This window comes from Homo sapiens, chromosome 9, assembly GCF_000001405.40.
Source record: "Homo sapiens chromosome 9, GRCh38.p14 Primary Assembly".
In the NCBI taxonomy this organism is placed as follows: domain Eukaryota; kingdom Metazoa; phylum Chordata; class Mammalia; order Primates; family Hominidae; genus Homo; species Homo sapiens.
In genome coordinates, this window is record NC_000009.12 from 132,641,527 (window position 1) to 132,659,466 (window position 17,940).

Genomic DNA, 17,940 nt, shown 5'->3' on the forward strand with positions numbered 1-17,940 from the left:
CCGGACTGCAGAGCCTGAGGCTGAGGGAGCAGGCCCTGAAATCACAGGACAAATGATAGTCGGAGACAGCAGCAAATAAAATCGGCCCAAATGCACCGATTTTCCTTTAAGAAAAGGTAAGCAGAGGCAATCAGAGTCATTTTGTTGTGGAAAGACTTTCTCAGCTCTAATTACTCCCGATAGCTGTAATTTACAAGTTTTTGGTGGATAGAAATCTCCAAGATTCACACATTTTCAGACCAACAGCTGCCACTATTAGTGAGCAAATTGCCAAGTCTTCTGCACGGTGGTGGCTGGCTATCTGCAGCCCTGTCAGGTAACAAGAAAGAGGTGCAAAGAGGCCAGCCCCACCAAGGGGCCCCTAGTGTTCCTGGGCCCTGTAGGACTGACCACAGGACAAACTGTCAAGAGACGAAAGATTACACAGCCATCACAGAAATGTATCAGCCTTCACATGGAACACAGGAGGATACGTACCGTGCAAAGAAGGACGCCTCTTCTGGAATGTGAAAATTCCTGAAACACTGCTGTTCTTTCCTACAAAAACAAGGAAAAATAGAGCCTTACAACTCAGAGACAAACTCCAGCAAGGTAGGCTTACATCTCCCTAGCTCTCTCCATCTCCTACTGCTAGAGCTATTTTCAGGCACAGAGAGGTTTGCCAGGAAAGAGGAAGAAGCGGATTCTTTACATCTTCTAAGATGACCCTGTACTTACAGGACCGGACTTGAGGCTACAGCCAAGTAGCAGGCGCTTTGAGGGTGCATTTTTGTGAGACACTACCAGGGCAGGCACACTCTCCAGGAATGGCCAAAAACAAGAACAGGAAGGCACAAGTTACTGCATGCAGGGCTTCAAGCCTGCGTGCAATTTATTCTAAACATTCTCCTACAAGTGCTCTGAAGGAATAAAGAATAACCAACCTTCTCTACAGGCAGTTTTTTAAAAGATTAGATATTTATAAAACTATGTATTTTAATTGGAGAGAAAATATATTTACATTAGAGGAAGAAAATATAATACCACTCAAGGCAAACCCCCACTACCACCAGGGACACCTTGACGTTTCCCGAGTCTCCATTTTATGCATAACATAACCAAATATGCAGCTTTCCAAAAAAAAAAAAGGCATCCTACTATTTATACTATTAACATGCTCTTATATAGCAACAGAATATGAACATCTCTTCATGCCAATAAGTATCCAAAGACCAGGTCATCTGCTGTGGTGAAATAGTATTCAACTAAATGGATGCACCATTATTTACGTGACCAATGTTGTATTATGGCAATTAAGGTTGTCTCTGATTTTTTTTTTTTTTTGAGACAGGGTCTCATTTTGTCACCCAGGCTCACTGCACAATCTCAGCTCACTATAACCTCCACCTCCCGGGCTCAAGTGATCCTCCCACCTTGGCCTCCTGAGTAGCTGGGACTACAGGCATACACACAATGCCTGGCTAATTTTTGTATTTTCTGAAGAGACGAGGTTTTGCCATGCTGCTCAGGCTGGTCTCGAACGCCTGAGCTCAAGCAACTCACCAGCCTCAGCCTCCCAAAGTGCTAGGATTACAGGCGTGAGCCACCTCGCCCTGCTGATTTTTTAATATTGCAATCAATGCTGTGATAAACATCTCTATAAATAAGTCACTGTGTAGATTCTTAATTACTCCCTTAGGTTAAATTCCTAGAAACAGACTCGCTGGACCAAAAGGTGAGCATCCTAGAATGCTTTCAGTATGAGCCTGAAACGGCGCATTCTGAGTGCTCTTCAGTCATGAAGCTCTATGCACTTGAGTTGGTCACATTCACCTGTCAGCAGCAAATACAAAGAAATAGAACCAAACTACTCAAAATCTGGAAAAAAGTAAAGTCTCTGCCGCTTTGGCACAGTCACTATGTGCTGTGGCATGTCTTTCTGGTCTTTCCTGTGCGTAGATTTTGTCCATGGCTGGAAGCCCGGGGCACACCTCACTGAGTACACTGGATAAAGACATACAAACAACAAACATTCATCGAGTGCCCACCATGTACCAGACCTCACACGTCTGAACTTTGCTAATCCTCACAACAACCCTATGTGTAAGTACTATCATCACCCCCATTTTCCAGAAGAAAAAAACTGAGGCACAGACAGGTTAAGGAACTTGCCCAAAGGACACGCACACCTGGTAAAGGGCCGGAATGATATCCGAACCCAGGGAGCTGTGTTCCGGAGTCAGTGCTCAGACCCTCAAAAGGACAGATCCATTTGTCCAGTCTGCTGCACGGTCTTTATAAACGATCATTTTTAATGGCTGCATCGTAGAATCAAAATCAGAAAAAAATCAGAAAGTTCATAAAAGCTTATGAAACACCTTAAAGACTAGTTATGATGTATTCAGATTTGGGGTAAGAAAAAAAAAAAACCTACCAAACTCTAGACTTTCATCACAACTACCATGCAAATAGTAACGTCTATCCAATGCTCATAAACTTTTTTAGAACCATGTCAACCATCTAAGGAGACCATGCTAAGGCCTTGTAGGACAGTGGCCAGGGTAATAAGTCAGGAAAATTTAAGTGGGACTGTTTCAGCTTAGTCTGGAACAAGAAACTCACCCCTAATACTTACAAAAGAAAACACAGGGATACTATAACCTCCTGTCTTCCACTGCAAAGGCTAAATACTACACAGACATTCTACTTTTTAAACTATAAAAACACAATTTTAACTATAAAAAAACAACTTTTAAACTATAAAAAAAGAACTATTCCTGAAAGACAGATAAAAACAATAGTAATAAAGGCACTTTAACATCTACTGAGCACTTCCTGTGTGCTAGGCCCTGTACGGAGGGCTTTGTCTGCATTAACTCAGCCAACCTTAAAGGAAGTACAATTATCATCCCCATTTTACAGACATGGAAACTAGGTCACAGAGAGGTTAAATATTTACCTGAGATTACACAGCCAGCAAGTGACAGCCAGGACAAGACCACAAGCAGGGTGCCCCCAGAGGGCACAGCTATAAACAGCACGCTAGACTACTCCCCTGTTACAAAGTGAGATGAACAGCCTCTGTATAATGAAGCTATAGACTCTTGTGTGTGATCTATTACAGCGAATTCCTAGACCATTCTGAGTCCATACCCAGCTCCCCCCAACCACGCTTGGATCGACGCCGCAGAATGCCTCTGGTAAAAACGGATTCACAGGATTAGTAAACAAAGCTTGAAACAAAAACAAAACCCCAAACCATTAACGGTATTAAATAAATAAAACCAACAACTTTGATTGAATCAGGGATCCAAAGGTAAAGACCAAGAGTTTACCTAATGCGCAAGGGCTGGAATATTCAGGGATTTCTATATAATCTTGTGGCAAATAACCGGTGTCCTTGAGTGACCTTGAACAAGTTCGCTTTTCTGGGCCTCTATTTACTTAATTATTAAAACAAAAGAGCAAAAGCAAAGAGAGGCTGGACTTGTTTAGGATCGTGTCAAACCTCTAGTGTCCCTTTTAGCTCTAAAAATCTTATGATCTTTTAAGCTGGCTCAAGTCAAATCTCATCCTGATTTCTAGTTTTCTTTCACACTTTCTAATTTTTGAAGCTGCCTGGTAACCTCTCCTCTAGGGCAAAATGGCTCCTATTTCGAGTCTTGCTCGTTCTTTCTTTCCCAATTCCAGTGAGTATATCTCACTCCCATATTCCACCCCGACTCCATAACAAACGGCCTAGTTAAGAGTGGAGGAATGCGACTCACATAGCCAAGTCCCTAAAATAGGGGAAATGTTGTATTCTTCTTCCTGAACAGAAATCTTACTCCGTGCCGAGAAAGAACTGGGAACCCGAAGCCCCTTTGGTTCACGGTACCCTCTCCCAACCGAAAGTGTTCTGAGTGCAGCGCTGTGTCTTGTTGACAATGACAGCAGCCGTGCTCAGCAGTACCATATGGGATCCACAATTTAGCTCCATTAATGCTCTTAATTTGAAGACATCAAGCCCTAATTACACACTGGGTACTAAAAAGGCAAAACCCTTCCCTGGTGCCAGCTACTTAGTGGTACTCTGTTGCCTTAACAGCTGGTTGAGGTAGATTCAGGCCAAGTCCAGGGCCTGTGAGCTCTCTCGGGTGGAAGAGACCAGCTCCCAGAGCAAAAGCAAATGGGAACAATAGACTCCCCTTGCCCCCATCAATCCAGCAGTGTGATCCCCTCTAGTTTCAGTGGGTCACCCATTTTCGTCTCATTCTTGACTTGCCCAGTGGAGTGTGCAAGGGTCGTAGCCATTGCTGAGCCTAAAGACCAGGTTTGCCGGACTCAGGTTCGCCCCCATCTCCACGTGGGGCCGCAGTGTTGTCGCTGCACAGGGAGATCAGTGCTCACCTCCTGCTCCATGCCGCCATGCAGCCGTAGGAATTTTAATCGCATGGAGGCAGATGGCAACTGCCCTGATGCCGGCGCCCCTGAGCTGCTCAGCAGGGTCTGTAGGAAGAGGCTGTAGTGGAACTCCACCAGCTCGCAACTTGAGAAAAAGACAACCATCTTCTGGTCTTCCTCAAACTACATCGATACAAAGGGAGGAAAAACCGACATATTTTAAGATTAGGTGACGCCAAAACGAATATTTCTCTAAACTATACAGTCATGCTGACCCCCATTTGGAAATAAAGGTGACTATCTTTGAATTATTTAAAAAAACAAAAACAAAAACAGTGATACTCCACTCTACAAAGAATGCAGGAGAGGAAAACGACACAGCTATCATTTCAAACAGGTTTCCCTTATCTGACAAAAATAAACACACCTGGGAGCACAGCTGTGTGGGAGCTCCGTTCCCTTTATTCGCCCAGGGCTTGCCACATGCAACACTACCTGGCTGAGACCCTACATATGCAGAAAACCTTCACCCTTAAGCCCTTCCACTTACTATTTTCTCACATCTCAGAGTCAGCGCAGAAATCTAGTAAATAAATACACAAATGCCAAGACTCTTGGAGAAACATGAGCACAAGCCCCTACGTCTGCCTCACATCCAGCTGTTCCCGCCACCTGTGATGTTCCTAATATCAGTCCCAGGAAAGGTATCGAGAACATTTCAAGCTGAACATCATGGCTATCATTGACCTCTGAGTTTTTACCATAATCCTAAAACCTGACTGAAAGGATGTATATCAAAGTCTGCATCCGGAATGCAGACATAAGTTGGAAAACCTCTGATTTTTGGTGTCTCAACTCATTGCTCCCAATGGCTTAACACAAGAAAGCAGGCCTTTCTTCCCTGAATCAAGTCGGCTCTAGCCCACAGTCCCACCTTGCATTTCTGAAGGATGAAGGCCGCTAGGCAGACAAGCCTCAGTTTGCTGGGAACCACAGTCACATGCTGCTTGAGACTCTCTGGTATTGCAAAGCTGTCCAGCTTGTCGCCAGCTGGTGGAGGACAGACCTCCTGGACCGCTTTGTCCTTTGGGTTCAACTGGTCATGGCTCTTGTCCAGGACAGAAATACTGACTGGATCATGCAAACTGATATCAGCTAGCCGCGTTACACCTTGGATAAAAGTAAGAAGGGCAAAGCAGACAACAAACACACCATGAAACTGGTCACAAAAGCGTACCCCCATACAGCACCCACCCATGTATGTTAGGACTACGTATGTTACCCCATGGGTATCACCAAGTCCCAGCACTGATCCGCCCTAGTGCCAACGTGTGTGTTGCAGGGAGATCTACCAACGTATCTTTCCATAGCCATTCTATAAACACTCACCTATGGAACAGCGTCCAAAAGATAGCAACAGATACTGCGCCCACCCCCACCTCCCAAAAGGGTTCTTTGGTCAAGTAAGTTATGGCAAATCTTGGATTTCAAAGGTTTCACAAAAGCGTTTTTGCTATAAGCAGCCCTCTCAGGGCCTTTATTGTGTTAATGTGCCCTGAGAATATCCAAGGGAGGGATGTGGGGCATTTCTCAAACTTTCTTGACCACAGAATCCCTTCTTCGTGAATCATCCCTCAAAAATTAGAACATAGGGAACTGTGAGGGACCACATGCATGGCATCTGGTACATGCACATCATAATGTGGCCTAGTAAATCAAGGAAACCAGACAGAAAAACGTGAAAGCTGCACTGCTGGTCAATGACTCACTGTGTGGGGTGGATCTGGTAGAGTGATACAACTTTTCCAAGCCTTCGTGTTCCCAGTGATAAAAAAGAGAGCTAAGAATTTCCATCTCACATGGATGGAAGACAGAGAAGCGCTTCATTGATATATTTTTTAAGTTTAATAGCTCTATAGGAGGAAGAGTGATTACATTAAAAATGCACTCAGATAAGAGGTCATCATCTTCAGTGCAAGGGCCCTGCTCTCCATGGGTTGCAAGTGCACAAAAACCTCATGAAACCACCAAGCCAATAGCAGCCAGTCTTTTCTCGTCCTCATCCCTGCCCTTTCTCCCTTTCCCCATGCCCTGGGGAACATATCTGTCTTGGATGACTTGCAGAGGGAAGTTGGGAGTGTAGAACATAGAGTTTGAAAAGGCAGTCTTCTAAGGACAGCTCTCTCCCTGCCCCCACCTCCCTGAGGTTGAGAATCACTGCAGCAAACAACCCAGGTTAAATCTAGGTCCTTCCTCTTCATTAAGAACAAAGAAGGACCCATCACTTCTTTTCAACTCACCTTCTGTGAGTGTCGCTGATAGCAAGACATTCTGTCGTTTTTGGCATTCAGCATTTACAGCATTAAGTATCACTGTGATGTCCTTTTCAAAACCCAAATCCAAGATTCTGTGATTGTAAAAAAAAAAAGAAATTTTCAACTATATGAAGAGCAGATGTGGTCTAAGGGGCTACAGAAGTTGCAACAAGGAGAGGAGAAACAGCCCTTCTCTTCTACCTGTTATCATCCTGGGACGAGGCTCACCTGTCTGCTTCATCAAACACCAACCACCGCAGCCGACTAAAATGAATGTTCTTTGTGGATTTTATATGATCCACCAGGCGTCCAGGAGTTGAGATAAGGATATTTATTCCTTTGCGGAGTCTGTTTAAAATTATATATCATAAAAGAAAGTAAATCAAACAGGGCCACGCCAGTAGAAAACACAGGAAAAAGGCAAAATAGACAGACTCATTTCATGTACAGTGCAAACGTGCCATAGCCTGAAATCATGACAAAACATAAAAACTGGGTAGAAAGCTGTACTTGAGTCTTTCCCTGTACTGTGAAATGCAATTGTTAAGATCTGAAATTACATTAAAATCATAAAACTTTAACTTTGAAAGGGATCATAACTACATAATCCAATGCTCTTTATCTGACTCATAAATCCTCTCTAGAACCTTCCAAAGAGATTGTAGTCTAGCCTGTTCTCGAAGGTTTCTGTGCCAGAGAATCTAGTATCTGAGCAAGTGATTCCATGCCAATGTGCTCCAATTGCTAGGACACTTTTTTCTTATGCTAAGCCCTTTATGTAACTTCCATTCAACGGGGCTCAGCTTTGTCCCATGGGTTATATACAATAAATCTAATTTCTCATTCCCCAGACAACCATTTTCCTGTCAGTCCACCGTAATAAAAGCTTCCAATTTTTAGCACATTTTTTTTTTCTTTGTAGAGACGGGGGTCTCACTATGTTGCCTAGGCTGGTCTCAAACTCCTGGTCTTAAGTCATCCTCCTGCCTTGGCCTCCCTAAGTGCTAGGATTACAGGCATGAGCCACTGCACCCAGCCTAGCTGGATATATTTTCAAGCTTCCCTTGCAGTTAAGTATAGTCATGTTTGTTTTAGCAATGGGATAAAAGGTAAAGGGAACACGCCAATCACACAAGCACCTTCAGAGGGAGCAGGTATGAGCATCTCTGTACCCGCTGGCAAGAAATTAGATGCAATGGTTGGAGTGCCTGCAACTATCTAAGACTATGAGGTAATCTTAAAAATGGAATCCTCCCATAGTGGCACAAAAAGACAGAAAGAGCTTGGTCCCCGACACTGGAGCACCAGGCCAGCCTTGGACTGGCTCTGTCAGATTTCTTAAATGTGAAAGAAAAATAAAACTTGTATATTGTTTGTGCCACTGTTATTTGTTATTATTGTTGTTATTCACAGCTGAGTCTAATCCTAACCAATGCTTTGAGGTTTCAGGTTTCATATTTACTCCTCAGTTATAGACTACATGCATCATTATTGAGTACTGATTATTAAGCTATAATACAATAAAAATGTTTTCAAAAGAATGAAGACAATTTGAGATTTACTTGTTGCAACGATTTTCAACTGACACCCATTACAAATCCTAATAAAGGAACAAACATATTCGGTTGTAAAAAGCAAGTTACAAAGCATTATATAAGTGAATGATCTTGTTTTTGTAAAAGCAAACAACAAAACCCCAAACTCTTAATGTCCACAAAAATGAGTGGCATGCAGGTGGATGTATACTAAACCAGGGATGCTATAGAGCATTGGGTAGGTGGGAGTTAAGAAGTTGACAGCACTGTTACTAGCAACATCAGAAGGAAACCTGTTTGTAGGTTTAATATTTTAAAAAACAGCACCGTCTAGAGGTGACCGCTCCCCACTGACTCAATCTGTCCCTGTGCACCGGGACTAGGAAGCAGAGCCTGAGACAAAGCTCTCAGCAGGTTTAGAAGGACCCAGCCTTACTGAATAGGAAGGCAGGACACATTCAAGAAGGAAACAACAACCAACAAACCTCTTCCTACCTGGCCTTTTCTGATTTTCTCTTCTCTCCTCCCATTAACACTCCAGGCACAATCCAGGTGAAAGGCTACAGAAAGACAGCAGACCACAGTCAGTGCAAAGCCCCCTTTACTAACATCAGACATTGATTCCAAATTCCCTTTCCTTAAACAAGGCATGGGAGAAAACTGGTGCTTCTCATTGTATAAGGTGTTATTGTGCAGACACAATTCCTAGGCATTGCTACACCCATGTTCACTATCAGCAGTAACTTGAATTATAGGTATATAACTAGCTTCTACCACAGTGAGAGAGAAATGTGAGCTTCTTAAATCATTCAAGTAGCTTGCCTTTCTTTTCCCACAGAGCCTGAACTGAAAACACATGTCAGTAAGTCTACTGCCATTTTTGGGGTTAAGATAAAAACCCAAGCAACACCCTTCCCTACTCTCCACCCCTAATAAAAGAAAGGATGGATCAATTCATGATCCAATTTGGTGAGCTGGCTGGCTTTGATTCTGAAGCCTTCACTCTCCTTTCTTAAACAAATCCTACTTGCAGCTAAGTTGCTTTCTACTGGATCACCATCAGGCTGTACCTGTGAATTTCTGTATGTGGCTTGCTAGTGACTATGATGAACAAATTGCAGGACTTTATGCACCAGGAGTCACTGATAATTCAGCTAAGCTAGAAATTGGTAGGTTTAGATCAGTAAAAACCTATAAACTGCCTAGAGAGAGCAGAGATATCCAGGCAAAAGGAAATAATTCTTATCTCTTTGAAAATAAAGAATAGACTGTAGTATATTAAATCCTTCCTCAAAGTCAGCAAGCAAGATGAAATGGAACTCATGGTTTGCCTTACCTTAAGCAGTTTCTGGACAGTGTCAAAGCTTTGTAGAGCTAGCTGTAAAAATTTTAAAAGTTATAGATGATGAACAGGATCCCCCTTTTTTTTTTTTTAAAGACAATTTAATGTGATTAGGATCCAAACTTGGACCTCAAGTTAAGATTTAAGAAGAAAAAAAATCCTATACACAGAATCTAATATACCTTGTTCTTAGACTGGTTCTGCAACCTGTCAGTTTGGGCAAAGAGGGTAAAGACAACACTTCTATTTCTTGGACATACACAAAAATAGTGTTTTGTGCTCCCTCTGCTGGCTCAAATTCCCAGAGTGCCACACAGAGAAGTTCAAGTCTGTGGTGCACAAAAACGTAAGAGAATGAAACAAAGTAACCTGAATTTGACTCTCCTTAGAAAGAGAAAGAATATAATATGTACGCAGAGTAAACCACAATAGTGACGCAACAGGGTAGCCTCTGGGAACTTCGCTCTCAAGGAGCGATGACTGTATTCTACAACTGTGCCAGGATATCTGAAGCCTGGGAGATGGTCGCTCCTCAAGTTTATATCAATAAAACAAAAGCAAACCAACAGCTCCATTTGAGAACAAAGCAAGTGAAAATTAAAGTAGGCTACAACCATTAACAACCTTCAAAAATGCCTCATACAGAATCCCGTTCTTAAAGAACGTATATACAGTTTCCACATATTTAGTATTCATGAAGCATCCTCGAGAAGTAGCAAGTTTGCTGCTGTAAAAATTTTAATAGCTTCTGTGCCTGCTCCTTCATTGGACTGAGCTGAGATAGGGGACTGCAGGCTATATGAAAAGCTGACTTCAAATCATCTCTGTGATCAATTCTCTGTAAGGAAGTGATTAGCATTTGATATAGAAACCACATACCCTAATCTGAAGTTGCCTCTGTAGGCAAATAAAATAGATCAGATAGAAGAGATTTCCACCAAGAAAGAAAAAAATATTGAAAAGTTTAACTTTTAGGAACAAGTAACATTTTTGGTAGCAGTAGCTTCTTAAAAAAAATAAAGGTTCATTTTCAGAGCCAACTGCTTTTGGTTTTGAATAAAGTTGCTAAAAAATTGCATTTCTGTAGGTTTTTTTTTAGCAACTTAATTCAAAACCCAATTAAACAGACATTTAATAGTATCATTAGTTTCTAGACAATAGGAAAATACTTTTCCATACTTATGATTCTCAGAGACTACTTGAATTTTTCTCCTTGACAAGAACCAGAAGGATGGTTTCCAGGCAAATGGAACTGGTGTGCAGTGGCTTGTGCAGTAGGGAGAAACATGGTAAAACCACTTTTAAATTCAACGGGACATTAGTGAAAGCATGTGCTTAAAACTTGTCCCAAAAGGGAGCCTGCTTACCTCTCTCGTTGGCACGAGCACCAGGGCATAGGGGCCATCACTGCGCTGTTGACACACAGAAAAAAAATGCCATGAGCAGGATAAACAAAGGCAGACTCCAAACGGACAGGACACAGGGGTGGCCGGTTGTAGAACATCAGAAGCACTCTTAATGAAGAAAGGGACAAAATAAGGTTGCCCACTGATGTGGTCTGGCTGTGCCCCCACCCAAATTTCGACTTGCATTGTATCTCCCAGAATTCCCACATGTTGTAGGAGGAAGGGCAGGGGGGCAGGAGTGAGGTGGTAATTGAATCAGGGGGGCCGGTTATTCTCGTGATAATGAATAAGTCTCACGAGATCTGATGGGTTTATCAGGGGTTTCTGCTTTTGCGTCTTCCTCATTCTCTCTTGCTGCTGCCATGTAAGAAATGTCTTTCGTCCTCTGCCATGATTATGAGACCTCCCCCAGCCATGTGGAACTGTAAGTCAAATTAAACCTCTTTGTCTTCCCAGTCTCGGGTATGTTTTTATCAGCAGTGTAAAAATGGACTAACACACCCACTAACCCCATTATTCTAGAATACTGTTCTAGAGGTCCTGGCCCATACAATCAGACAAGAAATATGATGTATAAAATTAGAAAATAGGAAACAAAATTATTGTTAGCAGATGTTATTTTATCTTACAAAAAAAAAAACCATAAGAGAACTAATGTAAAATCTATTACAAACAAGATAATTTTGTCAAGCAGCTGAATGCAAAATTAACATATAAAAATCAATAGCCAGGTGCAGTGGCTCACGCCTGTAATCCCAGCACTTTGGGAGGCCAAGACAGGCGGATCACTTGAGGTCAGGAGTTTGAGACCAGCCTGGCCAACATGGTGAAACCCCGTCTCTACTAAAAATACAAAAATTAGCTGGGCATGGTGGCGGGCGCCTGTAATCCCAGCTCTTCGGGAGGCTGAGGCAGGAGAATCACTTGAACCCAGGAGGTGGAGGTTGCAGTGGGCTGAGATCGCACCATTGTGCTCCAGCCTGGGCAACAAGTGAAAAACTCAGTCTCAAAAAAAAAAAAAAAAAAAAAAAAAAAAAAAAAAAAAAAAATTTCAACAGCCTTCCAATATAAAAAGTTAATAGCAACAAAAAAGATAAAAGGAATATAAGCTTAGCAAAAAATATACAAAATCTATATGAAGAAAATTTAAAAACACCTCTGAGGGGCATAAAGTAAATTTTGAATAAATGGAAGGATACACCCTATTTCCAGATAAGAGGATGCAATAGTACATATAAGCTAATTCTCTCTAAATCACTCCATAAACGTAATGTGATGCTAATAAAAATGCCACAAATGTGTATATATAAAATAACATATATAACCAAACAACCTGATTTGAAAGTTCATATGGAAAAATAAATGTACAAAAATAACCAAGACATTTATGAAAAACATCAGATGTTAAAATAATTTAAAGCTACAGCAATTACAAATAATGATACTGGCACATGAATAGAGATTATAATAGCAAATAAAGTTGAGAATAGAATCAAATAGATAACAAAATTTAGAAAATAATATAAGGGCCATTTTATATCAGCAAGAAAAAGATGGTTTAATTCAAAAGTCCTGTGAGAAAAAAATAAAGTTAGGAAAACAAAGCTGGAATTGTCCTTTTAACAGATGACATAAAACTCAGAAACCTTAAAATAAAACACTGATACGTTTTATTACCTAAGAATTTTAAATTTCAGAATGGAAAAATAATACCTAAACAAAACCAAGAGTCAAATGATAACCTGGGGAGAAAATATGCCACACCTGAGAGAAAGAGCTAATTTCCTTAATTTATATATTTTAAAAAGCCCTGTAATTCAATCTTTAAAAAAAGACCAACTTGGCCAGGCACGGTGGCTCACGCCTGTAATCTCAGCACTTTGGGAGGCTGAGGTGGGTGGATTACTTGAGGTCAGGAGTTAGAGACCAGCCTGGCCAACATGGTGAAACCCTGTCTCTACAGAAATACAAAAAAAATTAGCCAGGCGTGGTGGTGCATGCCTGTAATCCCAGCTACTCAGGAGGCTGAGACAGGAGAATCTCTTGAACCCAGGAGGTGGAGGTTGCAGTGAGCCGAGATCGTGCCATCGCACTCCAGCCTGGGCGACAGAGCGAGACTTCATCTCAAACAAAACAAAACAAAACAAAACAAAATTCAAATAGAAAAATGAATAAAGGGCCGGATGTGGTGGCTCATGCCTGTAATCCCAGCACTATGGGAGGCCAAGGCGGGTGGATCACTTGAGGTCAGAAGTTCAAGTCCAGCTTGGCCAACATGGTGAAACCCCATCTCTACTAAAACTACAAAAATTAGGCGGGCGTGGTGGTAGGCATCTGTAATCCCAGCTGCTTGGGAGCCTGAGGCAGGAGAACTGCTTGAATCCGGGAGGTGGAGGTTTCAGTGAGCCGAGATTACGCCACTCCACTCCAACCAGGGCAACAGAGCGAGACTCTGTCTCAAAAAAAAAAAAAAAAAAAGAAGAAGAAGAAACATAAAGCAGCTGAGAGCATTGGAGGGCATGGGAAAACTGGACCTTCTACACCGCTGCTGGAGTGCACACTGGCATATTCCCTTTCAAGTTTAATGTTGGCATTATCTACTAAAATAAAAATGCACATTCCACTTACAGAAATTTCTCCTATAGACCATATGTGTGTGTAAAGAGGTTGTAGAATATTTTACAGACTGTAGAGTATTTAAGTGGCCTTGTTTGTAGCAAAATACTGAACATAATATAAATTCCACCAACCAATAAGAGAATGAGTCAGTAATTCACGGTACATACATACATACAATGAAATGCTAGGCAGTCATCAAAAAGAACAAGGTAGCCCAATATGGTGCTAATTAAGGAGCCCAAAACACATCAAAGAAACCAAAGCAAGGCACAGAACATCCTGCATAACAAAGCAACCACTCATGTATCAAACCAAGCAAAACAGAAAAACAAAAAACTTCACAAAATTGGTAAGAGGAATTACACATCCTCAAATTTGCTTGATATGCAGAGAATTTCCCCAGGAGGATATACAAGAGACTGGTAATAACCACCATGGCATCTTGAGAAGCAAACTGTGCCACTAAGGGAAAGTGGGAATAGATGACTTTACTTTTCGCTATATATATTTTTGGTACTCTTTGAAATTTTTAAAACATATATGGTACATTATATCTAAAAAGTATTAATAAAAAAAACAGAAGAAACCAAAGTAATCCGAAAAAGGCCCCTAAGCCAATGGTGCCTTGCACATTCAAAGTGCTCAAAGACACTGAATGAATGAACAAAACAACGTTACTGCCAAAGCTAAGCACAGAGTTAACAGCAAATTCAATTACAAGTATGGTTTTCGTGTTTTGCATAAGAAACATTTACCCAAAAGAAGAAAAGGATTTGGAATTCAAACCAGAGTTGTCTGTACTCAACATCGACTTTGTGAGACTACACTGAACGCAGGCTAGGAATGGTAAATATGCTAGTACAACAGCAGCAACGTGCCGCTGTGTGACGTTAGGAGATTCTGACATTTCAAAAGGTGTTACTACATAGAGAAGAAGAAAGAAAAATCAATTCCTCACAGGGCACAAGTAAGTGAGGGAGGATGGATATGATGTTAAAAAAAAAATCAGAGCCAAAATAACTGAAGAGTGTGAACACAGAAAAGCAGTCCGTTCTCACGCCATCACCAAAGTAATTTAAGGATCTGTTGGGTGCCTTAAATTTGCTGTGCCCTCCAGATAAGCTTTTTACAGGTCAAATCATTTTACAATGAACTCCAAGGGACTATATTATTACTTGAAATAAGTGAATTAAATTGAGGCTTGGAAAACTGTGTTTCTACAGAATATTCCAGTCTTTAATAGAATGACCGACCTGTTCGTGATTTTTTAAAATATTGCAGCAAGTAAAATATGACATATAACCAATCAAATCACTGCCCCTCCAACTAGCCACATGACCACGTTGCTGACGATGGCTAAAGCATGATGTCACCATGCACTGCCCGTCGGGTCTCAACACTGCACATGCATTAGCTCAACCCTGATCCCAGCCCTTGGAGACAGGCACTGACCGCTACCATCCCTGTGCCACAGCAAAGGCACTGAGGCACAGAGGATGAACAATTTGCCTCAAGTTACCCTCAGACCCAGGATTGAGCACAGCTGCCCACCACACCATTCCCCTGATATGTATGTCATCAAATCTCTCTCATCCTCCAGTCATGGATCTATGAAATTAGAGTTAGGCTAGAACTGTATAAGCCATTCCAGCTCAAATAGTCCAAACTCTTCAACTGGTATAAAGAAAAACCTCTCCACTGGCAAGATGCTCTCCTGGAGTACGTAAGTGGATGAGACTTTACTACATGATTGTAGTAATTTACATTTATTTTTCTCTATGTGCCAGGGACAATGCTAAGCACTTTACACAAATTCTCTCACCGTAAAGCACTTAATAGGGGGAAAAAAATCAGTTACCTTTAGGAAGTAAAATTCCTCACTCAGAGAAAACCAATGTTAACAGTTTGCTAAGAATTATTCCAGCCTTTTTATGCATGCATACACAACTATTACTTATGAAACTGGGGTCACACTATACACATCATTTTGTAACCTGCCCTTTTTCAAGTAACAAAGCAAGAATATTTGCTCAAGTTCACAAATAGTAATTGAAAAAGTATCATTTTTTAATGGCTATACTTGGTTCCATCTCTGGATGATTTTGTAGGGTTTAACTGATTTTTAAAAATTCTGAACCTATTCATTTTGAATGAATTCAGGCTTATAATTTCAGACTTACAAAATTTTGCATAAAAAAATACAAGGAATTTCCACACACCCTTCTCTCAGCTTCTCCATATGTATTATCAACACTTTCATCCACTCATTTTAGCATCTATGATAACTCACGCCTGAAACAATACTACTGTGGCATTTGCCAAATGGTGACTTTCTATTTCTATCATTTGTATATTTATTTATTAGAGTTCTACATAAAGAAGAATTCTACCTTCTCCCTCATTTATTTATTCAATAATTTATTTGTATCAGTTTGAACTCACGGATATTTTGTTTTAGTTTATAGACTGTAATGCAACACTATTATTGTCACTCAAATATCAGGTAGGCTAGATATACTGCTAATTCTGCATATCCAAACTGAGAAAAACAGTAATCGATTAGCTTTTGTCTGTTTTTTGCAGTCACCTCACTTTCTATTTCTGGTCTCACCACTCCCTCTCAGCTGAGAATAACGAGGCTGTATTTGTAGGATCCTGGGCTGGCGTTTGAGATGAAGCCTCTGCCCACGGATCACAGCAGTTAACTGGCCTCCTAGGGAACTCAACCCAGGCACTAACTTAACATGTTTCACAACTAAAGATAAATTCTACATAATCTCAAAAATGAGGTAGCCCAATTTGTCCTCATATTAACATTTCAGCTAAATGGCTGCTTATTTTCATATTTACTGTTCATGAGAAACCACTGTTTTAAATATGAAGTTCAGCCTTCTTGGTCAAAAGCAAACACCACATTGGAACTTAGAAGGTTAAAATATAATGCTTTATATACAACACAGACTCAAGCATGAATGGATAGCTGCAAAACCAAATCACCTTTATTGAGTGACCATTCTGTAAAAGGTCCCACGTTAGGTACTGTGGAAGACACAGATGCATGGCCCCTACATAGCACAGGAGCCAGGAATTAACCTTCACTGTAAGTCTTCACACAAGAGTAAGGAGCTTGGTCTCTGCAGCCAAACAGAACTGAGGTAGAAATCCAGTTCCTCCATTACTTGCTGCATGGCCTTGGTTATTTAACTTTCCTAAGCCTCTGTTCTTCTTCGTAAAATGTGGATAACAGTAATACCTATAACACAGTGGGGGAGAGAGCAGTTAAAGATTCAAGAAGGGAACACATGCAAAGTATCATGCCTGACACACGGGGAGCATCTTACAAAGCTTCCCTGTTACACTTACTATGACAATTGTGAAGTGTATTTATTCTACTCTAGGCACAGTCTCTAGATACAACACATTTATGCAATAAATAAATTAAAAGGAGGTGAAAAAAATACTCAGTGAAAACAGATTCTTTTAGTCCTAATATTTCTGTTATGCTTCAGTTTGATGGTTGCTTATGCACTATGAGCAATGACAGAAAAACACATTTGATACACACCTGTATTTTTGACTCCATTGCTTGAAGGGACTGGACCACAGGGATGCAATAGGCAAGAGTTTTACCTTTCAAAAAAAAAGCAGAAGCAATTAAAATCACACACCCTACAGATGTTTAAGAAAAGCAAAGGATGTAAAGGAAACAGGCTCTGCTATCTTCCAGTAGTACTAAATTCTAGGGAAAGGGAAACTGCCCATTATACATCCAAGAGAAGTGAAAAGGGACTTCCCCTGTCTGCCACAAATCCCAATTTTGCTTTGTAAAATGAGTACTTCTAAAAAACTAGAAGCTTCAGTTCCTTTATTCATCTAACAAGAGATAACGATATGTCTCCCAAATTACACAGAAGCTCAACTTGATGGCTGTCTGTAGGAGCCAGAAAATTCCTCCTTTGAAGTCCTCCCTACCCTCTCAGATGAGCTTCAGTGGTCAATTACATCTCTGCAGTGCTGATGTGATTGGGAGCCAGTCTGTACTCTAGAGCTAATCTCTAATTGCAGAGAAACCAACAGATGGCAAAAACTTTGGGTATCCAGCCTTCTGAATGGTGGCCGAGCTGGTGGGAGTAAAGGATAGCTGACTGCCCACTGAGGGCACATGAGGGTCAAAAAAGCAAGTCCAGACTGGCCTGGAACACGGCAGAAACAGTGTTCTGTCCTCGAGCACAACTGGCATCTGATCAGTGTACGCTCAGGCCAGAAATCACTCTGTGTTTAACACCAGAAGAAGACATTCATTCTCCACTAGAGTGAGAATGGGCAACTGTGGCCACCACACCTTGGTAAAGCCCCGAAAT

The 17,940-nt window shown here is 41.2% G+C and overlaps 1 protein-coding gene across 17 annotated transcripts in view; it reads right to left on the minus strand.

Annotated features, from left to right (window-relative positions):
• DDX31 (DEAD-box helicase 31) overlaps positions 1-17,940 on the minus strand; it is a 76,987-nt gene that overhangs the window by 48,530 nt on the left and 10,517 nt on the right. For 16 of the 17 annotated variants that reach the window (NR_136309.2, NM_001322340.2, NM_022779.9 and 13 more), the window contains 9 exons: positions 17,145-17,209; positions 10,922-10,966; positions 9,549-9,590; positions 8,708-8,772; positions 6,906-7,025; positions 6,663-6,769; positions 5,297-5,532; positions 4,369-4,545; positions 478-537 (listed from right to left, as the gene is read on the minus strand). Coding sequence is in view for 16 of the 17 variants with exons in the window: in NM_001322340.2 (NP_001309269.2) it covers positions 478-537; positions 4,369-4,545; positions 5,297-5,532; positions 6,663-6,769; positions 6,906-7,025; positions 8,708-8,772; positions 9,549-9,590; positions 10,922-10,966; positions 17,145-17,209 (917 nt within the window). In the remaining variant the exon portion in view is untranslated. Of the gene's footprint in view, positions 1-477; positions 538-4,368; positions 4,546-5,296; positions 5,533-6,662; positions 6,770-6,905; positions 7,026-8,707; positions 8,773-9,548; positions 9,591-10,921; positions 10,967-16,556; positions 16,833-17,144; positions 17,210-17,940 lie in introns of those variants that run through there. The other variant, NM_001322344.2, reaches the window with a different exon arrangement.